The sequence below is a fragment of the Homo sapiens genome, chromosome 2, assembly GCF_000001405.40.
Source record: "Homo sapiens chromosome 2, GRCh38.p14 Primary Assembly".
NCBI classification, from domain to species: Eukaryota; Metazoa; Chordata; class Mammalia; order Primates; family Hominidae; genus Homo; species Homo sapiens.
The window spans coordinates 97,974,123-97,997,285 of NC_000002.12; the positions used below are offsets into that span (position 1 = coordinate 97,974,123).

The 23,163-nt window shown below is 38.6% G+C and overlaps 1 protein-coding gene across 7 annotated transcripts in view, besides 6 other annotated features; it reads right to left on the bottom strand.

The window, feature by feature from the left end:
* Nucleotides 1-21,826, bottom strand: part of TMEM131 (transmembrane protein 131) — a 239,613-nt gene extending 217,787 nt beyond the window's left edge. For 6 of the 7 annotated variants that reach the window (XM_047443844.1, XM_047443843.1, NM_015348.2 and 3 more), the window contains exon 1: nucleotides 21,354-21,826. In XM_047443844.1, the coding sequence (XP_047299800.1) occupies nucleotides 21,354-21,540 (187 nt within the window). In that variant the 5' untranslated portion in view covers nucleotides 21,541-21,826. Of the gene's footprint in view, nucleotides 1-21,083 lie in introns of all 7 variants that reach the window. The other variant, XM_047443842.1, reaches the window with a different exon arrangement.
* Nucleotides 19,860-19,939: an enhancer, noted in NCBI's record as "active region_16250". NCBI's record gives its function as "activates an Ori minimal core promoter by ATAC-STARR-seq in GM12878 lymphoblastoid cells {active_cell/tissue: GM12878}" and the evidence as "EXISTENCE:reporter gene assay evidence [ECO:0000049][PMID:35858748]".
* Nucleotides 21,116-21,675: a silencer, noted in NCBI's record as "silent region_11795". NCBI's record gives its function as "represses an Ori minimal core promoter by ATAC-STARR-seq in GM12878 lymphoblastoid cells {active_cell/tissue: GM12878}" and the evidence as "EXISTENCE:reporter gene assay evidence [ECO:0000049][PMID:35858748]".
* Nucleotides 21,116-22,085: a biological region, named in NCBI's record as "H3K27ac hESC enhancer GRCh37_chr2:98612157-98612670".
* Nucleotides 21,572-22,085: an enhancer, noted in NCBI's record as "H3K27ac hESC enhancer chr2:98612157-98612670 (GRCh37/hg19 assembly coordinates)". NCBI's record gives its function as "activates a minimal SCP1, AML or CMV promoter by ChIP-STARR-seq in primed H9 embryonic stem cells {active_cell/tissue: H9 hESC(primed)}" and the evidence as "EXISTENCE:reporter gene assay evidence [ECO:0000049][PMID:30033119]".
* Nucleotides 21,786-22,035: a silencer, noted in NCBI's record as "silent region_11796". NCBI's record gives its function as "represses an Ori minimal core promoter by ATAC-STARR-seq in GM12878 lymphoblastoid cells {active_cell/tissue: GM12878}" and the evidence as "EXISTENCE:reporter gene assay evidence [ECO:0000049][PMID:35858748]".
* Nucleotides 22,256-22,535: an enhancer, noted in NCBI's record as "active region_16251". NCBI's record gives its function as "activates an Ori minimal core promoter by ATAC-STARR-seq in GM12878 lymphoblastoid cells {active_cell/tissue: GM12878}" and the evidence as "EXISTENCE:reporter gene assay evidence [ECO:0000049][PMID:35858748]".

Here is a 23,163-nt window from a genome sequence, read left to right on the forward strand (position 1 = left end):
CAAAAAGTTAAGTAGAGAGATGGAAGATACAAAGACAAATTATACTTCCAGAGATGAAACCACAATTTGTGAGATGAAAAAAATGTGATGGATGGGATTAAGGGTGGATTAGACATGCAAAAGAAAAAATTAGGGAACTTGAAGGCATAGCAGTAGACCCATCCAAAATGGAACACGCAGGAAAAGATCTAAAAAACCTAAACAGTGCAATGTGCTGTGGGATCAACTTCAAGCTGTCTAATGCCTGCAGAACTGGAATCCTCAAAATGGGGTTGGGAGGAGGAGGAGGAGGAGGAGGACAGGAAAAATGTTTAAAGAAATAGTAAGCAAAAATGTCCCAAACTTAATGAAAACTATAAATCCAGAGATCCAAGAAGCTCAACAAACCCTGAGCTCAACAAACATGAAAAAAACTACACCAAGAGATAATCAAATTATTTCAAACCAGATTTACAAAAAAAATCTTAAAAGTATCAAGAGAAAAAAAAAGACATGTTATATACAGAGGAACAAAGATAAGGATGACATCAAATTTCTTCTGGAAAACAATGCAAGTGGGAAGACAGTATCTCTTTAAAGACTAAAAGAAAAAGAAAAAAAAAAACATGTCGACCTGTAATTCTATAGCAAATAAAAGTATCTGAGAACAAAGGCAAAATGAAGACATTTTCAGAGATATAAAACCTGAAAGAATTCATTACTAGCAGATCCACACTACAAAAAAATCCTTCAGGCAGAAGGAAATGATACCAGGTGGAATACAGATATGTGTTTCTCAATAATTGATGAATAAAGCAGGCAAAAAATCAGCAAGAAAATGGTGAACTTGAACAGCACTACAACCAACCTGACTGACATTGACAGAGTACTCCAACAACAGCAGAAGACATATTCTTCTCAAATGCACACATTCACCAAGATAGCCTATATTCAAAGTCACAAAACAAGTCTCAAAAGAACTAATGTCATACCAAGTATGGTCTCTGGCCAGAATGGAATTAAATTATGTATCAATAACAAAAAGATCTTTGATAAATACCCAAAGACCTCAAATCAAAAACCTCAGTATCCACCTTAAGAAACTAGAAAATAAAGGAAAAATTACACTCTAAGTAAGCAAAGAAAAAAAAAAGAGAAATAAAATTCAAGTGAAAAAGTCAATGAAACAGAAAAAGTGAGACAAATACAAACATATACAGAGAATAATAAAGCCAAAAGATGCTTTTTGTGAGATTAAAATTAATAAACTTGTAGCCAGTCTGATCAAGAAAAAAACGACAGAAAACACAAATTATAAGTTTCAGGAATAAGAGAAGTGTCATCATTACAGTTGCTACAAATATTCAAAAGATAGTAAGGGAACATTATGAACAACTTTGCCAATTAATTTGACAACTTAGATGAAATGAACAAATTCTTTGAAAGATATTAATTACCAAAGTTCACTCAGGAAGAAATAGATAACCTGAAGAGCCCTGCTTCTTAAAAATTGAAATTGTGGTTAAAAAAATCCCCATAAAGTAAACTCCAAGCCTAGATGGCTTCAATGGTAATTCTTACCACATATTTATGGAAGAAATAACACCAGTTTTATACAGATTCTTCCAAAAAATTAAAAAGGAAAAACACATCTCAACTGATTTTATGAGACCAGCATTACTCTAATACTGAAAGGGAAGGTATTACAAGAAAAAAAAAAAAAAAGACCAATATTCCTAATGACCAAAGATACAAAAATTCTAAGTCTTAGCAAACAAACAAACAAACAAAACTTTAAAATAAATTGCATAATACCTATCATGACCAAGAAAAAAATGCAAGGTTAGTCATTCATCATGTTAACCAAAAAAATCCATGATACAGACAAGGCATTTGATAAATATCCATTCCTGTTAAAAACTCTCTTCAAACAAGACATAAAAGAACCTCCTCAACCTGGGAAAGGGCATCTATGAAAAACCTATGGCTAACAGCATACTTAATGGTGGAAGACTGAATGCTTCCCCCCTAAGATTATGAACAAGACAGAGATGTCCACTTTTACTACTTCTATTCAACATTGCACTGGAGGTCATAAGCAGTACAATCAGGTAAGCAAAACAGAAGGTATCCAGACTGGAAAAAAACGTATTTGCAGACATGATCATCTACGTAAAAAGTCCAATGCAATCTACAGAAAAGCTATTAGAACTATTAAGTCAGTTTAGCAAGATTACAGAATACAAGATCAACATAAAATTTACTTCTATATACTAGCAATGAACCAGAAATTGAGATTTTAAAAAAATATCATTTATTAATAAACTAGTATCAAAAATATGAAATACTTAGAGATAAATATGACAAAAGATACTTTAAAAATTTTATACTGAAAACTACATTAAAGACCTAAATAAATGGTGAAAATATCCCTGTTCATGTGTCAGAAAACTAAATACTGTTAAGAAGTCAGTTCCCCCCACAAATTCATCTATAGATTCAACACAGTCCCAATCAATACCCAAGAAGGCTCTGTTGTACAAATTGATAAGCTGATTCTAAAATTCATAATGAAATGTGAAGGATCTTGAATAGGCAAAACTCTGAAACAGAACAAAGTTGGTGAACTGACACTGTTTCGGTAACTATAATACAGCTGCAGTCAAGACAGTGTGGTACTGGCATCAAGGCAGAAAAATAGATTAACAGAACAAAAGAGAGACAGACAACCAGAAATAAACTCACACATGTACATGCAATTGCTTTTCAACAAGTACAAGCACAATACAGTGGGAAAAGGGTAGTAGTCTTTTTAATTGACTTTTTAATAGACACTAGAAGAACTGGTTATTTATATGCAAAAAAAAAAAAAAAAAAGAACTTGGGTACAAAACTCATATCATATGTAAAATGAACTCAAAATCAATCACAGATCTAAATGAAAGACCTACCACTATAAAACTTCCAGAAAAGAATACAGGAGAAAATCTTTGTGACCTTGCATTAGGCAGAGATTTCTTAGATACGATACCAAAAACATGATCTATAAAAGAGCAAATTGGTAAAGTTGATTCAATCAATTAAAAACTTCTGCTCTTCAAAAGACTGTTATGAGAATAAAAACACAAACCTCAGACTTGGAAGGAATCCTTGTAAATATGTATCTCCAGAATACTGGTACCCAGAACATATAAAGAACTCTCAAATCTCAAAAATAAGAAAATAGCCTAATAAAACATGGGCAAAAGATGTGAAAAGACACTTTACCAAATGAGATATATGGATGGCAAATAAGCACATGAAAAGATGCTCAACATCATTATTCACCAGAGAAATACAATTAAAATTACAATGAAATGCAGGAATGCCTCAGAGATATTGCCAGGTTTGGTTCCAGACCACCACAATAAAACCTATATCACACAATAAAGCAAGTCAGGTAAGTTTTCTTGATTTCCCAGTGCTTATAAAAGCTACATTTACACTGTATTGTAATCTATTAAGAGCGCAATAGCATTGTATCTAAGAAAGTATATATCTTAACTTAAAAATACTTTATTGCTAAAAAATCCTAACAATTATCTGAACCTTCAGCAAGTCATAATCTTTTGGCTAGTGGAGAGTCTTGCCTCAAGGTTGATCAGGATCAGGATAATGGTTGCTGAAGGGTGGGGTGGCTGTGGCAATTTCTTGAAACAGCAATGGGCCAGGCGTGGTGGCTCATGCCTATAATCCCAGCACTTTGGGAGGCAGAGGCAGGCGGATCATGAGGTCAGGAGTTCGAGACCAACCTGGCCAACATAGTGAAACCCCCGTCTCTATTAAAAATACAAAAATTAGCCAGGTGTGGTGGGGGGCGCCTGCAATCCCAGCTACTCGGGAGGTCATGGCAGAAGAACTGCTTGAACCCGGGAGGTGGAGGTTGCAGTGAGCCGAGACTGCGCCACTGCACTCCAGCCTGGGTGACAGAGCAAGACTCGGTCTTGGGGAAAAAAATAATAATAAATAATAATAATAAAAAACAGCAATGAAGTTTGCTGCCATTTCATGAAAGATTTCTCTGTAGCATGCAATGCTGTTTGACAGCATTTTACCCACAGAAGAACTTATTTCAAAACTGGAGTCAATCTTCTCTAACCCTGCTACTACTTTATCGACTAAGTTGATAATACCCTGAATCCTTTGCTGCCATTTCAACAATGTTCACAGCATCTTCACCAGGAGCAGATTTCATCTCAAGAAATCACTTCATCTATAAGAAGCAACTCTTCATTTGTTCAAGTTTTATCGTAACACTGCAGCAATTCAGTTACATCTTCAGGATGCCAGCCACTCTGTTGCCCAGGCTGGAGTGCTTACTGCAGCCTTGACTTCCTGGGCTCTAACAATCCTCCCACCACAGCCTCCTGAGTAGCTGGGACAACAGGTGAGAGCCACCACACCTAGCTAATTTTTGTAGTTTTTGTAGAGACAGGGTTTTGCCACAGTGCTCAGGAGGTCCTTGAACTCCTGGGCTCCATATTCCTCCCGCCTAGGCCTCTGAAAGGGCTACCATACCCAGCCCAAGCTTCACTTCTAATCCTAGTTCTCTTGCTATTTCCACTGTATCTGCAGTCACTTCCTCTACTGACATCTTGAACTCCTCAAAGTCATCCATGAAGGTTGGAAGCAACTTCTTCCAAACTCTTGTTGATATTCTGACCTCCTCCTATGAATCACAAATATTCTTAATGGCATCTAGAATGGCAAATCCTTTCCAGGAGGTTTTCAATGGACTTTGCCCAGATCCAACTGAGGACTCAGTCTCTGTGGCAGCTATAGCCTTAAAAAATGTATTTTTAAAATAAGACATGAAACTTGAAATTACTTCTTGATCCTTGGCTGCAGAATGGATGCTGTGTTAGCAGGCACGAAAACAACATGCAGCTCCTTGTACATCTCCATCAGTGCTCCTGGGTGACCAGTTGCCTTTTTAACAAGCAGTAATATTTGGAAAGTAATATTTTTTCCGAGCAGTAGGTCTCAACAGTGGGCTTAAAATATTCAGTAAACCACATTATAAACAGATGTGCTGTCATTCAGGCTTTCTTGTTCCAGTTATAAAGCACAGGCAGAGTAGATTTAGCATAATTCTTAAGGTCCCTAGAATTTTTTCAGCATGACAGATGAGCATTGGCTTCAACTTAAAGTTACCAGCTTCATTAGTTCCTAACAAGAGAGTCAGCCTGTCCTTCGAAGCTTTGACGCTAGGCACTGACTTCTCCTCTCTAGCTATGAGAGACCAAGATGGCATCTTCCAAAAGAAGGCTGTTTCATCTACATGGAAAATCTGTTGTTTAGCGTGGCCACGTTTATCAATGATCTTAGCCAGATCTTCTGGAAAACTTGCTGCAACTTGTACATCGGCACTTAACCACTTCACCTTGCACTTTATGTGATGAAACTGTCTTCTTTCCTTAAGCCTCATGAACCAACCTCTCCTGGCTGCCAACTGTTCTTCTGCAGCTTCTTCCCCTCTCTCAGTCTTCATAGAACTGAAGAGAAGAGAGGGGCCTTGCTCTGGATTAAACTCTGACCTAATAGAATGCTTGTGGCTGGTCTGATCTTCTATCCTGAACACTAAAGCTTACTCCTATCAGCAATAAGGCTGTTTTGCTTTCTTATCATTCATTTGTTCACCAGAGTAGCACTTTTAACTTCCTTAAAGAACTTCTCCTTTGCATTCACAACTTGGCTGTTTGGTACGAGAGGCCTAGCTTTTGGCCTTTCTCAGCTTTGACATGCTCTCCTCGCTAAGCTTAATCATATCTAGCTTTTGATTTATAAGGGAGAGGTGTGACTCTTCCTTTCACTTGAACACTTAGATGCTATTTAGTACTACTAATTGTCCTAATTTCAATATTGTTGTCTCAGAGAAAACGACAGCCTGAGGAGGGGCGAGAAGTGGGGGAACAGCCAGTTGGAGCAGTCAGAACACAGGCATTTATCAGTTAAGCCTGCAGTGTCATATGGGTGTGGTTTGTGGGCATCCCAAAACAATTACACAATCACATCAAAGATCACTGATTGCAGATTACCATTACAGATTTAATACTGAAAAAGCCTGAAATATTGTGAGACTTACCAAAATGTGACATAAAAATAGAAGTGAGCATATGCTATTGGAAAAATGGTGCTAATAGATTTGTGTCAGGCAGGATTGCCACAAACCTTCCATTTGTAAACAGCATATTGGCTGTGAAGGAGGCAAAGTGCAATAAAATGAGAAATGCCTGTACCACTACACACCTGTTAAGATGGCTAAAATTAAAGGACTGACCATACCAAGCACTGGCAAGCATATGGAGGAAATGGAACTCTCATACACTTCTTATGGGAATATAAAATGGTACAGCCGCTTTGGAAAACAGGTTAGCAGTTTCTTAAACATACAGCTACCATAGGATCCAGACATTCCACTCATATGTACTTACCTGAGAGAAAATAAAATACATGTGCATACAAAGACTTACACATGAATGTTCAAAGCGGCTTTATTTATAACAGCCCCAAACTGCAAACAACCCAAAATTTCAACAGATGAACAAATAAATCATGGTATATTCATACAACAGAATACTACTCAACATTAGAGACTAACTATCAAGACACACAAGTTGGAAGAATCTCAAGTGTCTTGTGCTGAGTAAAATAAACCAGTCTTAAAACCATACAATCTCAAATTATACACACTAATTTCATTTATATGACATTCTCAAAAAGAGAAAATTACAGTGACACATAACAGATCAGTGGTTGACAAGAGTCAGAAGTGGACTATATGGAGATAGCACAGGTTTTGGAGGGTAATGAAAATGTTCTGTATCCTGACTATGGTAGTGGTTATTCAAATCTATACATGTGCTGAAACTCACAGAACTACACACCAAAAAAAAAAAAAAAAAAAAAAAAAAAAAAAAAAAAAAAGTTTAAAAATCTGTTAAGGTAGCTATCCACACACATACACTCTTTATAACCTTGCTGCTTTCATTTATCAATATACTTTGGAAATCACTAAAAAGCATATTCTAGAGGTTTTCCTCATTCTTTTTTAAGGTGCATAATGATCCATTATGTGGATGTAACAATTTATTCAACTATATAGGGGCATTTAGGTCATTTCCAATAGTTTTCATTCACAAATCATCATGCTATGAATAACCTTATATATATGTATTTGTATTGTTAAAACAGCCAATTCCTAAAAATGAGATTGCTAGGTGAAAACCGTAACATATATGTAATTTTGTTAGACACTGTGCCAAACTTCTTTCCATTAAGGTTGTATCTTTTTTGCATTCCAACTAACAAGGTGTGAGAACACGTGCTTTCCTGCAGTCTCATCGAAAGTGTTGTGAAGCTTTTAGAACTTTGCCACCCAAATAAGTGAGAAATGGTATCTCATTTAGGTTTTTTCCCCCTTAGATGAAAAGCCTATCAATTTTTAATAAAACTTGTTTAATAACAGCTCCCATTTTAAGTATATAATGCATAGTTTTCAGTGTATTCAGAGTTGTTCAACCACCATCCCAAAGAAAAACCCTTGTACCCATCATCAGTCACTCCCTACACTGCTCTCCATAGTTCTAGACAACCATGTTATCTATTTTGTCTCTGTGGATTTGCCTATTCTGGACATTTCATATAAATGGCTTCTATGGTCTTATATGGTCTTTTGTGAGTGGCTTTGTTCACTTATCACAATGTTTTCAAGGTTCACCTGTGTTGTAACAAGCATTCATAATAATACTTCACTCATTTCTATGGCTGAATAATATTCCATTTGATCTATTCTTCAAACATTTCAGTTGTTTCCACTTTTTGGCTACTATAAATAATGCTGCTATGAATGTTCCTGCACAAGTTTTTATGTGCAAGTTTTTGTGTTTTCGTTTCTTTGGAGTATATACTAAGGAGCATAACTGTGGGTCATACAGTAACTCCGTATTTTCAGGACCTACCAAACTGTTTTCCAAAGCAGCTGCACCATCTTATGTTACCCATAAAGCAACAAGACATTCCAATGTCTCCGCACCCTTGCCAACATTTATTATCCATCTGTTTGATCGTAGCCATATTGGTGGGTGTGAAATGGAATCTCATTTTGGTTTTCATTTGTATTTCTCTGATAGCTAATGATGTAGAGCATCTTTTCATACGTTTATTATATATCTTTATTAGGAGAAATGCCTATTCAGATCCCCTGCCCATTTTTTAATTGCACTGTCTGTTGTAACTGAGGTTATGAGTTCTTTATACATTCTAGATACATATCCCTTTATCAGATACATGATTTGCGAAAATTTTTCTTCCATTCTGTGGGTTTTCTGCTTTCTTTATAGGGCTTTTTAAAGCACAAAACTTTCAAATTTTGATGTCTACTTTATCTATTTTCTCCCCTTTTGTTGTTTGTGCTTTTGGTGTCACATCTATCAAGAAAGCTCATTAGAAACTCAATGTCTGTGGTAGGCTGAATAATGACTCCCCAAAATGTCCATGTCCTAATCCCAGGAAGCTGTGAATGTTACCTTACATGGCAAAAGGAATTTTGTAGATGTGATTAAATTAAGGATTTTGAGATGGGGAGATTATCCCAGATTAGTCAGATGGGCCAAATATATTAATAATCACACTCAGAGGAACAGAATGTGATATGCAAGATGTTTGGATTAGGAAAAGGGTGATGTCAGAGGCCATGAACCAAGGAATTCAGGAAGCCTCTAGAAGCTAAAAAAGACAGAAAAAGATTCTCCCCTGAAGCCTACAGAAAGAGCACAGCCCCAACACCCTTGTTGGAGGCCACACAAATGTTTCTTGTAATTAGGTACAACTGAAGCCTGTTAGTAATAATATGAACCTGTGATCAATTAAGCAGCCAACCAATCGTTACCTCCTCCTCCATGCTCTTGTTACCCAATAAATACAAAAGGGCTGTAGAAGCTCAGGGGTTGCCTTTGCTCACTAGAAGCAGGGAGCCCTTTCATTCTTTTCTTCTCTCTTCTTCTTCCCCATGCTAGCCTTTCCTTAAAAATTACTTTTGTTTTTTGTTATCATTTCTACGTTTGTGCCTTCGTTCAGTCTCATAATGACGGTCTCAGACAGTAACAGTAGAAACTGCTGTAGTGACAGTCTCAAGTAGTAGCAGTGACAGTCAGCTACAAGTGGTGCCTGAATTCCAAAGGGAGGAGGGTATAATGAGACATGTCCGACCCCCTCTTCCCATCATGGCCTGAACTAGTTTTTCAGGTCTCTTCGGGTCTCTTCAGTTCTCTTCAGGTCCCTTTTTGTCCCTGATAGTCCCTTCAAGTTCCTGTCTAGGCGCCACTAAGGGCTGCATAATCTGCAATTGTCTTGCTCAATTAATTTAAAAACAAAAAGGAGATGGAGGCTGCACAAATGTTTCTCATGATTAGGCATAACTGAAGCCTGTCAGTAACAACATGAACCTGTGATCAATTAAGCAGCTGACCAATGGTTACCTCCTCCTCCTTGCTCTTTACCCAATAAATACGAAAGGACTGTAGAAGCTCAAGGGGGCTGCCTTTGATCACTAGAAGCAGGGAGCTCTCCTCTTCTCCCCATGTTGCCTTTCCTTAAAACAGTTTCTTTTGTCTTTTTTCATTTCTATGTTCGTCCCTTCGTTCAGTCTTGTAATGATGGTCTCCAGTAGTAACTGCAGTAATGACAGTCTCAAGCAATAACAGGAGTTAACTGCTGTAATGATTGTCTCAAACCATAACTGTGGCAGTCAGCCACACACCCTGACTTTAGACTTCTGCCCTTTGGAATGATAAGAGAATAGACTTGTGTTTTAACCCACTCAACTTGTGATAATTAGCTACAGGCACAATAGGAAACTAACACAGAGTCCCAAGGTTTTTACTTGGGGCTAGCCACACGGTACCCCTCTGCCTAACACATACCAAAGTTCCAGACTCCCAGAAGAAAAGTAGGTTAACATAAACCATATATACTTAGGTCTATTACTAGAATTTCTATTCTATTCCATTAATTTGTCTATTTATATACCAGTACTTATTCTAATTATACCAATTACATAATAGTTTAAGAGCAAGTTTTAATAACTGCTTGTGCTAGTCATTCCTCATAACTTTTCCAGAATTTTCCCAGTATTTCTACATTTTCATTTTTTCATAGAAAATTTAACAGCAACTTTCCTAATTCCATAAGAAGTTTTCTTGGTATTTTTTTTTTAAATATCAAATTAATTGACAGCAAACTGATGTCTCAGTCCATTTGAGTTGCTTTAAAGGAGTACTGGAGGCTGGGTAATTTATAAAGAAAAGAGGTTTACTTGACTCATGGTTCTGCAGGCTGTACAGGAAGTGTGGTACCAACATCTGCTTCTGCTGAGGGCCTCAGGCTGCTTCCACTCCTAGAAGGCAAAGGAGTGTGCAGATCACATGGCGGCAAGGGGGGTGGTGACAGGCTCATTTTAATACCAGGTCTCAGGTGAACTCTCTTGGAAATTAAATGTGAGAACTTAGTTCCCCATCCCCCTGGGGAGGGCATTAATCTATTCATGAGGGATTATTAATATATATTATATATAATGATATATTACTATAATAATTACTATATATTGATACATCAATACTCATGAGGGATCATATCGATATAATAGCTTTTTAAAAAGAGTTTTAGTTAAAAACAAAACCACAATATAAAAATATGCACATTAACTAAATGGAGCAAATGTGGAAGTGTGTGAGTATAGCCTGGCAGCTGCAGGCAGCCCAAGTCCAATGGGTATCCCTGGACGAGTTTACTAGAGGGAAAACAGACATGGGTATAAATTCACCAAGAGAGTTCAGTGCAGCTAAGAGGACTGCTCCTACAGCTTAAGGTAAAAAGGTCATAAAATAACTCCATGGGATAAAATGTAGTAGCTGTCCCTAATAACTCTTAAAACTAAAACTCTTTAAAAATATAAGAAATTTCCTATTATTAAGAACATCTAACTTCAACCAACTACCCCAATCATACTACACAATGAAACACTTAAGGTATTTTTCTCTTAAAAAAACAGAAAAACATAAGGATGCCTGCTTTTTCATCACTCTTATTTAACAATGTTCTGAAGCTCTAGCCAAAGCAATAATGCATAAAAACATACATATTAATATTAGATTGAATAAGTTGTTAATTATGTTGGACTGACAAAAATTATAATTTCATACAGTTTTACTTAATACATATATATATATACACACACACACACAGACTTAGGAGAAAGACAAACAAAATGGAAAACCCTATAAAGATGTCAAATTCCAAATTTATCTAACGTTTTAATGTAATTGTAACCAAAAAGCAAATAGCAACTTTAAATTTTCTTTACAAAATGATTTGAGGATTCATAGGGAATAAAAACAAGATAGATAAGAAACTGCTTTTTGAAGAATAATCATTTAGGGAGAGGGGATGACCTGCCAAGCCAGCTAATGAAATGTATAAATAAGCTATATTACCTAAAATAAAGTTAAAACAGAAATGTACAAATGCATAGACATATACATGAGAAAAAAAAATACCCTGGGAAAAAAAAAATCAAGAAATAGATCCCAGTACATAACAGAATTTGAATGAAAGGAAATACTGTATATAATTCAATAAGTGGTGTTAAGGCAACTGACTAATGATTTGAGGACAAACAGATTCTCTACCTGATGCCAACGGACTGAAGAAATAGAGATTTGCATTTAAAGATGGAAGCACGGACATAAAATATTGGTGAATATATAATCTTTAGGGGTGTTAAGGTATCAGAAAGGCAGAAACCATTTAAAAAAAAAAAAGAGAGTTGCCTGACAGGTATAAAAATAATAGAAAATAAAAAATTCAAATGCAAATAGAAACTCAGAAAAATATTAAATCCTTAAAGTCAAAAGACTAAGTCAAAAAGAAAAATTCAAACATCAATGGGAAAACTGACAAAAGACTGATCAAACACAAATACAAATGGTCGCAAATGTATAAAAGTATTCAGTCTTAGTAGTAATTGTTTTAAAATAAATTAAAACAACGTGACAACTTTATTGGTAGACTGGTAAGAAAAGAGTAACAGCCAGTGTGGGGAAGTAAGCACATGCATACAGTATGGTTGAGATGTGAATTGATTGCCTTTGAAGAAAACTATTGGCAGTATCTATTTTTTTAAATGGGGAATAGGGGCAGGAAAAGAGTGAGGAGAGGGAAGAGAGATGAGGAAGGAACAGAGACCAAAACATGGATGACTCATGTTAGTTCTTGACTGGTTACAGTTTTTCACCATTTATTAATCTGCATTTTATAATCTGTTTTATTCTTACAATCAATTTAAACAAGAATTTCTAGGATTCCAATAAAACTGGACCTAATTCCTTGCCTGTTTTTTCCTTCCTACATCTCTCTTCAAAACAATTCTCAGTAACCTATTTTCATGCCCAGCCATAACTCAACAGAAGCCACCCAGAATAATGAGGTGGACCCCTAAATACCTAAGAACTCCCCTATATCTGAAACATAACCACTGCTGCACCCATTCTGAAAGAGACATTACCTCTTGGTAGTGCTGACCACTACTTCATTTCCCATTTGCTAATCAAGAAGCAATACTTCAGATGAGCCCATGTCACCAATCCATAGAAGCATTTCTAAAGGTGGTCCAATTTCGCCCAAAGGTTTGAAAGCACACTACCCTCTCTTGTACACTGCTCTACCTAATAACTTTTGGAATGACAAACATAAACTATCTCAAAGATCTTTATAAATACAGTTAGGTTTCACAGAGCACCTTTGTACCATGAATAATTGCCTAGAAAATCTTCTGCTCCCAGTTTAATCATGCTCTAAAAAGAAAATCCATGTAGGGCCCTTGCCATACCATGAATACAAACCACTAATTAACCTGAATCCATAAAGTTGGCTATGCTATTTCTCAAACTTCACTGCCAAGACAGTTTTTAACTAGCACATCCTTTGATCCAAATGTAATACTAGAACTATACAGAAAAAATCAGCTTTCAAGAACCAAACTGCCATATCACTTTGCAATCATTATAACTGATTTAAAAAATAGTCACAAATTGGCCAGGCACAGTGGCTCATGCCTGTAATCCCAGCACTTTGGGAGGCCAAGTCAGGTGGATCATGAGGTCAAGAGATCGAGACCATCCTGGCCGTGAAACCTCATCTACTAAAAATACAAAAATTAGCTGAGCGTGGTGGCACACACCTGTAGTCCCAGCTACTCAGGAGGCTGAGGCAGGAGAATCGCTTGAACCCGGGAGACAGAGGCTGCAGTAAGCTGAGATCGCACCACTGTACTCCAGCCTGGCAACAGAGTGAGTCTCTGTCTCAAAAAAACAAAAAAACAAAAACAAAAAAAAGTCACAAACTGTTAGAACTAACGAGGGCTTAAATGTCTTTCATTTTATAGGCAGGTAATTAACGAAATACCTTAAGTACGCAGCATTTTTTCTTGTTTCAAATATGGAGTGTTTACTAAAAACTATGTATTTACAACTATTAATGATACACTGATTAAAATCATTAGTTCAAAAATGCATGTTTTATTTACAATGACATCAAAAAGAATAAAATACTTAGGAATAAACCTAACCAAGGAAGTGAAAGATTTGTACACTGAAAACTACAAAACACTGCTGAAAAAATTAGACACAAATAAATGGAAAGACATCCCAAGTTTATGGGTTAAAATACTGTTAAGATATCAATACTACCCAATGTGATCTATAGGTTCAACACAATCACTATCAAAATCCCAAAATCCCAAGGCAAGTAGAAAAGTGCATCCTAAAATTCATACAGAATCTCAAGGGACCCCAAATAGCCAAAATAATCTTGAAAAGGAAGAAGACAGTTAGAGGTCTCACATTTCCTTATTTCAAAACATATTACAAAGCTATAGTATTCAAAATAGTCTGGTACTGGCATAAAGACAGACACACAGAGCAGTTAAACAGAATAAAGTGTCCAGAAATAAACCCTTGCATATATAGCCAATTAATTTTCATACAAGGACACAAAGACTACTCAGTGAAGAAAGGACAGCCTCTTCAACAAATGGAACTGGAGAAACTGGATATCCACATGCAAAAGAATAGAGTTATACCCTTTATCTTACACCATAAATAAAAGTTAACTCAAAATGGGTTAAAGACCGAAACATAAGACCCAAAACTATAAAATGCCTAGGAGAAAGCATAGGGAAAAAGTTCATGACATTGGATTTGGCAATGATATCTTGGATATGACACCAAAAGCAAAAGTAACTATATCAAACAAAAACTTTTGTTCAAAGAATATGATCAACAGAGTGAAAAGGCAACCTGCCAAATGGGAGAACATAGTTGCAAATCATCTGATAAGGGGTAATATCCAGAATATATAAGGAACTCCTATAACTCAACAACAACAACAAAACCTGAATATAACGTGGGCAAAGGACGTGAATAGACATTTCTCCAAAGGAGATATACAAATGCCCAAGAAGGATATGAAAAGACGCTCAATATCATTAATCATTAGAAAAATGCAAATCAATACCACAATGAGATAGCACCTCACACCACTATCAAAACAAAACAAAACAAAAACAACTGTTGGCAAGGGCATGGAGAAATTGGAATCCTTGTGCATTATTCACGGGATTCTGAGATTATGCAACCACTATGGAAATGTGGTGGTTGCTTAAGGAATTAAATATAGAACTATCACATGATCCAGAAATCTCTCTTCTGGGTAGATATGCAAAATAGTTGAAACCAGGGTCTTGAAGAGATATTTGCATACTCAACTTCACAGCATTAGTCACAAGAGCCAAGAGGTAGGAGCAAGCCTAGTGTCCACGGATGGATGAATGGATAAACAAAATGTGGTATATCCATACAATGGAATATAATTCAACCTTAAAAAGGAAGGAACTATAAATGTTGTCTTTTTTATATTTTTATGAAAAAGCAGAAAATTACTTTTGAAGAAAACAGGCTATTTAAATATTGAAATATATGTATGTTGTGAGTTTAAGGAGCCTGTAATTGTCAGTTTTACAAAATCATCCGTGTTCAATGGTTGTAAATAAATTCTCAAAACATCATTTCAAAAAACAAAACAAAAAAAAAAAAAAGGAAGGAACTGTCACATCCTACAACATGGATTAACCTTACAGATATTATGCTAAGTAAAATAAGCAGGTCACAAATCCTGCATTATTCTACTTATATGAAGTATCTAAAGTAGTCAAATTCATAAACACAGAAAGTAGAATGGTGGTTACCAGGAGCCTGGGGGTGGGGATTAAGGGTAGGGAGAGAAATAGGAAGTTGTTTAATGGGTATAGACTTCCAGCTTTACATGAAGAAGTTCTGAAGATCTGCTACACAACAACGTGAATACACTTAACACCACTGAACTGTACATATAAAAATGGTTAAGTATTTTGTTATGTGTTTTTTTCACCAAGTTTCTAGAAAATAAATAAATGAAAATAAATAAAAACGTAGGTTTCATACTCTATCATGACTGACCATCTAAAAGATCCTCTTAAACATCAAACCTCTGCCCTAAAACGGCAGAGTTGTATGCAACAAAATCAATCAGGCAAATGGCAAAGGCTTTCTAGAAACCCTCCATCTGTGGTTTTAAAAGTAATCACATGGGAATTAAAAAACAACAACAACAAAACAGATTTGGAACTACAGATGAGAACTAATGACCACCTAATTCCAAAATGCCCTAATAAGAACAAAGCACCTTTGAACTTCTTCTGGAGCCCTTGGACCTCTAATGGAAGTCTGCGAGAGATTTCTGCCTGCCGAGGCAAATGCCACTACCAGCCCTTGCATTATCTCCAGCTCCTGTTAGTCCAGGGCCAGCTTCTGAGAATATTCCACAAGTCTAGACTAACTCATCACACCAATCTGGAGCTAAGCAGTATCTACAGAAGGCAATATTGCTTAACCTTAGCAATACAACCAGGTATCTAAGTCATCAAGAACAAAGAGACAGTAGCTTCGAATACCAAATATTCATTTCCCTGTATTATCCACTCACTGGTTTCCTTTTAAGAACCTTCATGATCCAGAATGGCCTGTGATTACTTAAACTGTTAACAAGTCAACAGAAAGTGATATGAAAGCTTGTGGCTGATTGAAAAAAAAAAAAAGTACATTTTACTTGAATACTAATACATGGGTTTTGCATGAACTGTCAAGTCTGTTCTTTTTGCAGTTGGTACAATATAACAAAATCTAATTCCTGAAGTGCTCATTTGGGGTTACATAGTTTGGCTCAAGGGACAGATGTCTTAGGGCGGAATCCTGGCTCCACTATTTACCAGCCCTATCACGCTGGGTATATTACTTAACCTCTCTAAGCCTCAGTTTCATGATCTCTAGATTAGGGTTTTATGAGAATCTGAAAATCTTAAAATCAAAAAGTTATAAAAGTGATGGTTTAGATAAGTGTATACAACTCCTTTTAGTTACAAGGAAAAGCAACATGTGGGGAAGAAAAAACTGGTGTTACTCAATGTCCTACTATAGCAGACTTCCTCATGACATCTGCACCAGAACTGAATTTTACCTGTACTTCTGACTCTCAGGTTCTCAGGTATAAAAAGTCCTATGCACTTTTTTCATATGCTTTGTAAATAGTTTTGTACTGTGTTTTGCACCTACGTCACAAATACAGCTTAAAACAAAAATTTGTGCATGAAACTATAGTACACTGGCAAAAAATTTTAAAAGTCCTAATAAAGGCTGTCAAACGTTACTCTGCCATTTAATTGCCAATTGATAGAACATGTGACTATGAAATTTAAATTGTCATAGGTTGAAACACTCTTGAAAATTTATTCGAATTTATATTTACTAGATACATAAACTATAGCTTCTCATTTATAATAAATTAAATGCCTTCCAAAAACCCACTTCACAATGAAATTATATTACAATGAAAGTTTAGGCAAACTTTCAATCAAAACTGAATGCCTGCTATTTATGTACTACAGATGTTGACAAAGGTTCTGCCCTACAGAAATTCCAGCCTAGGTGAAGAATGACACCCCTGAAATCATTTAAGTAGCTAACAAGGCAGTACACAATTAGGTGTCAAAATGAATGATGAATGATTAACAAAGACCACAAATTCAGAGGGAGCATGCAGGACTGAACAGAAATGGCGAAAGGCGGTAGGAGAGAGGCTGCTGCAGTGCCCCATGGTGAAGGCAGTGGGAGAGTGATCAAAAGAGGATGTAACAGGCACTGATGCCACTTGGTGAAGGGTCAAAACTGAATCCAGTGGGGCAGGCAGAATAATCATAGCATTAATAAAAAACTGAAAACTGGAGGTGGCGCAAGATAATTCTGCCCTGGACACATGCAGTGTGCACCAGCAGCTAGACACACACAGGGAGGAAGACAACCAACAGGCAATTGGAGAGCAGCAACTGTCAGCTAGGGCACAACCAGAACCGAGAAGTACAGAGTCACCGAAACAATGCCAGATGCTGCTTACAAGAGACCGTAGGGGAAAATTCAGCTGTAGGAAAAGGGCCTCTTGGTCTGGCAAGGCCAATCAGAGCGCTTGAGTCACATATAGGCAAGAGAGAGAACACCTAAAATATCAAGCACCTAGCAAAGATTTTATTTTCCTCCAAGAGTAATTTGGCTTATTGCTACTCTGGATAGTAACAATTAGATGAGTTTACATCTACTCCCAAAGCAATCTTGTTGGCAGATGTCTATGAGGGTCCACTGTAAGAATTAGAAGGAGGAGGAAAATGGTCATTAGCAAGAGGAAAAAAGGACACACTTTTTCCAACTACAAAACTCCAATGCTCCATCAGGCAACAGCCTTTAGTAAAAGCAGGCTACAAACGTTCATTAGTGAAGCACTTATTAAATAACATTCTATTTACAAGGCCCTAAATTAAAAGGTACCCACTCTACCCCATACAAAGGGTTAACACATCTCACTCTTAAGAAAATCACTTTCAAAAACATTTTAACATTATCGAGTAATAAGTAGGTTAAAAATAGTTTGGTTAAGAAAAAGTAAATAACACTCCTAGTCAATTTGGCTACCCTTAGAAAACTATTAGATTCTTATCTGTTTTCTTGTGGTCTTTAGTCCTATGCACTTTTCTCATATGCTTTGTAAATACTTTTGTACTGTGTTTTGCACCTATGTCACAAATACAGCTTAAAACAAAAATTTGTGCATGAAACTATAGTACACTGGCAAAAAATTTTTAAAGTCCTAATAAAGGCTGTCAAACGTTACCCTGCCATTTAATTGCCAATTAATAAAACATGTGACAATGAAATTTAAATTGTCATAAATTGAAACATTCTTGAAAACTTATTCGAATTTATATTTACTAGATACATAAACTATAGCTTCTCATTTATAATAAATGCCTTCCAAAAACCCACTTCACAATGAAATTATATTACATGATATATAATGCTTTTTTAAAAAAGGTCTTATTTGCCAGTCATAATGGGCTGCTTTATAATTCAAAAGACTACTAAAAGTATACATTTAATATATACACATACACATGTATTTTCACTATATATTTTAAAAATATATTTTCACAACTCACACACATTTTTGCTATTCTCAGTATCTAGATGTTAGCCTCAAGACAAAATCTTGCCACCAATCTAGAACTAGTTATTTGTAGTGATTATAACAACTTCTATCTCTGGAAACTCTTTCAAAGTCCTTACAAACTTTACATCACAGCCAAAACCATCTCAAAGGTACCTTTCCTCTGGACTAGTGATAGCACACTCCCATAGCTCAGTTAAGTCATATAGGATGTTAAGACAAGGAATGGTCCATGCTTCTGACTCAAGAAAATCAACATCAAGTCCAAACATGAAAAACTACATTAGGTAATTTATTTCTGCAGCTTTTCTTCAGGAGACAATGAGTTTTATTGTCTTTTAAAGATTTTGCAGTGAAATTATACAGTAATGAAGGAAAAGAAATACAAACATACAAAATACCTGCAGAATCATCATTAAAACTGCAGGTAAATCTTAACTTTGAAATTTTAAACTAGTTTATGCTACTTCAATAGACACAAAATTCCTCCGGGTGTGAATGATCAAACTGAACTCAGCCATCTTCAGAAATCTGCCCAAACTTGCTGAAAAACTCAACAGTACCTTTTAGGACAAATACTGTATTTGTGCCTCATCAGATGCCAGACTCACAGTGTCACAATCACGTAAGAAAATAAATTGCTTTTCCCCTACTTACTCAGAAACAATACTGGAATATGATCAGTTTTAAAGGAGAAGCCATTTCTGGAGATACCTTCACAGAATATTTGATTAGAACCAGATCTGTTTATGATGGGTAGAGGCCTATGTTCTATATCAGCATCATCTCCATTAATATCTTGGATAACCGCACACACAAATTGTTCATACAGAAAAGCATGGGCCACAAAGGATATCTGATTCACCCAGGCCACTGGCTGATTCAACCACCCCTTTAATACATACTTAACACCCTGGCAAGTATTCTCCTCATCCAATCCTTACACACATTTATGGGTATTAGAGAGGTGCACTAACATGTATAAACTATGCAAATGAGAAATTAGCAAATATATTTTAGGCTGACAGTTCTCAAACAAAAGGTTTGTTTACTTAACTTTACCCAGAGTAAAGTTTTTATTAGCATATAAAATGGCTGTTGGAAAAATCAGCAGCAGTAGAAGGAAAATACAAACTTAATGCTTTACTAGATTCAACCATTATTTCAATTCCCTGTGCTAAGGGCGCATGAAGACAGTCATTCACTCAAAGGCTAAGCGCCAGTGTGTCTGGCACTGTGCAAGGTAAGCAAAGGAACAGAAAAACAAGGACACAATACCCACCAAGGTCTACTTGAAGTCCCACCCAAAAAATGTCCATTAAATTACTGCACTATTTTGGGTTCACTGAACACCCACTACAGGCCAAAATGCTAGGTGCCACGATCACACATAAGAAAGAACACTCAACTAACTGCAGATCTGTGGCCAATGATGTATTATGACAACCCCAGGACCGACTAGTCCTAAAGCGGCAATATTTTATTCTGGAAATAATTTTGCTTCCATCAATTAATCCTTTCTATAGACGACAATTCTTTGAATAATTTCCACCAATGTTAACTCAGACTAAGGTTGCTTAGAGAGTTAGATAAGGGAATGTAATGTGGACAAAAATAAAAGAAACAGTATACTGAAGCACATTTGCACTTTAATACTAATTTGGTTTGTATTTGCTTTCACCTTCAGCAACAATAAAAAGCAAGTGACTTTAGTCATAAAGTAGAATGTTAACTCTAAAATTACCGTGGCAAGAAATTGTTTTCTTGTACAGGCAGTTTCATGTGCAATGCTAAACTAACAAGTTTTGCGTGGTTTGTTTTTTTTTTAAACTATTCACTTAGTCAATTCTTCATGAAGGCTCTGTGACCATTCACATGTCCCTTGGCTCAAAAAGAGGTAGTGTAGATGAAATTACACTGATTTGGTCTTCAAGATTACAAAATAATTTTTGACCCTGTCCAAGTACCCGTTTTGCAGCAGTACAATACTAATGAGATTTTTAAAATAGGGGCCAGCCCTTAACTGTAAATTATAGATAAATGCTTGCAAGCTGGCAACTTCACGTTTATTTTTAAAGGCTTTCACATCAAAGATAAAGGCACCGAATCACGTATTTTAAAATAAGAAATGTAAACAGGCTTTCAACAGCTTACTAAAGAGTTAAATGGAATTGTATTTAGGTCTAATAATAAAGTTATCAATAACGCAGAGACACTAAAGGAGGAAGCTACAGGACCAAGATTTCCCCTCGAAGAAATGTCTGAACAAATTCAAAGTGAAATTTTTTAAGCTGTGTCTCGCTATTTTTACCACATTTTAAAGTAAGCTCTGTCTGCATGCAACCAACCGCAACCAAGAAAACAGAAGTGTCCTAAAATGTACCTATTCGCCGCAATAAAGCCAAAAAATATGCCCCTCCTACCTAGCGGGCCAAGTGGCAAGAACGTACGAGAAGTCAGGAAGTTTTGAAATGGCAGTGACAGGAGACGGGGGAAGGCACGGGAAGGAATCACGGAGAGCGAAGGCCACTCCGTGCGGCGGGCGCCGCGAGGTCCCGGCTCGGGACGGTACCCGACCGCCCAACTTTGCGCCGGAGCCCCGGCCGCGGCCCTTCCTCCCGGCCCAGCCCTCCCGGCCTCCGCGAGAGCGGGGTGACAGCCCCGCCGCAGGGACGCCGCCGGGGGACACCCACCTTCCTTCTCGGCCCGCGCCGCAGCCACTACGAGGGTCATCACCAGGTGCAGCGCGCCTAGGAGGCCGGCGGCCGCGCTCCGCGGGCCCCCGCTACGGGCGGCCGCAGGTTCCAGCCCGGCCCCGGCGGACGTGGAGACGGCGGCGGTGGTGGCTCCGGTTGCTCCTCCTCCCGCCCGCTTCCCCATCCCTGCCGGCCGGGGGCCGCCGCGCTCGAGGTCCGGCGCGGCCCTTCTCGGCGAGGCGGCGGCGGCGCGGAAGCCGTGGTCCGGGCTCTGGCCGCGGCGCCGGGAGCGACAACGGTTGCGAGCCCGGGGCTCGATCTCCGAGCGTGGGCCTGGGTCCGTGCGTGCGTGTGAGCGAGAGTGTCAGTCACGGTCTTTGCCTGGGCATCGCCTACAAGCAGTCGGAGCGGAGAGGCCGCGGGTCAGGCGCGGCGGGCGGCCATACTGGAAACGGGCACGGCCCGCGAGCCCTGAGCGCTGGCCTGCGAGGGGCGGGGCGCGGCTCTGGGCACCGCCCACGCTGTGCCGACACCTGGGCTGTCCGGCGGTCAGTCTGTCCGCCCCGGAGCCCCCTGGGCCCCACCTCCTCGTCCCGCTCTCGGAGGCCTGCGGCTTCACGGCCAGACAGAACCAGGACAGAACAACCCCAGCCCGTTACCGCTACCTGGCGCAGGAGAAGGAGGGAGGCAGGCCCAGGTCCAGCTGCCAGGACTTATGATGGCGGCTTCTGCTTCGCGGAGGCGGTGTCGGCAATCACGTGGAGACGGGGCGGCCTCGCCGCGCAGCCGCCGCGTTGCGTGGGCGGGGCAGGGGCGGAGTTGCGGGGCGCTAACCTCTTCTCCGGCGCCTGGGCAATCCTCCGTGCTCTGTCCTACAGTGGTAGAGCCTTCCAGGGGTGTGAGTGCGCATACAGACCGCGAGACGAGCGCGGAAGGTCCGTTCCAGTGACTCTTCCTGGTGGCACCCCCACCTCTCGACCGCTTTGACGTCGAGAATACCCCGGGCCTGACTCAGTTCTTGATGGTGCTTCCTTGAGGATGGTGGCCCGCTGAACTCATCCTTGGGTCTTCCAAATCATGGTACCCAGGAGGAGCTTGATGGAGTCCTCTTGCCTTGGCTTGTGCCCACATTGGCGCGGAACACCTCGTGTGCAGAAAGCGTCGGTGACTCTGGATGGAGAAGGCAGGGGCAAACAGACTGCTCTTTAGAATATCCAGTAGCCGGCTTCCTCTCTCGAGGAAGAATTCTTTTTTTTCTTTTCTTTATTTTTTAATTATTTATTTATTTTTGAGACAGGGTCTGGTTCTGCCGCCCAGGCTGGAGTGCAGTGGTGCGGTCTGGGACTACAGGCACCCGCCACCACGCCACGCCAATTTTTCTTTTTCTTTTAAGAAACGCTGTCTCACTATGTTGGCCGAGCAGGTCTCGAACTCCTGGGCTCAAGCAGTCCGCCTTCCTCGGCCTTCCAGAGTGCTGGGATCACAGGCGTGAGCCACTGTGCTGGGCCCGGAAAAATTCTTAAGACGTCTGTTACCTTCACGAGCCATCTCGCGCCTCTTAGATGCCCTTTTCATCTTAGGTTGAGCTTCTTGGTGCGCATGGCTGTTGTCTCCAAGACTTAATTTAAGCTCTTGGAGGGGGTCCTTCTTTACTCATCTTAGTAACTTCCTCCCAGCTTGTAGCCCAGAGACATTTTACTTTCCTTAGCTGTATTTGTTGAGTGAGTCGATATATGTGTAAGGCCAAGTCTGCCCACAGTACGTCTCAGAACAAGCTAGATAGGAAAATAAGGTTTCAGAAAGACAA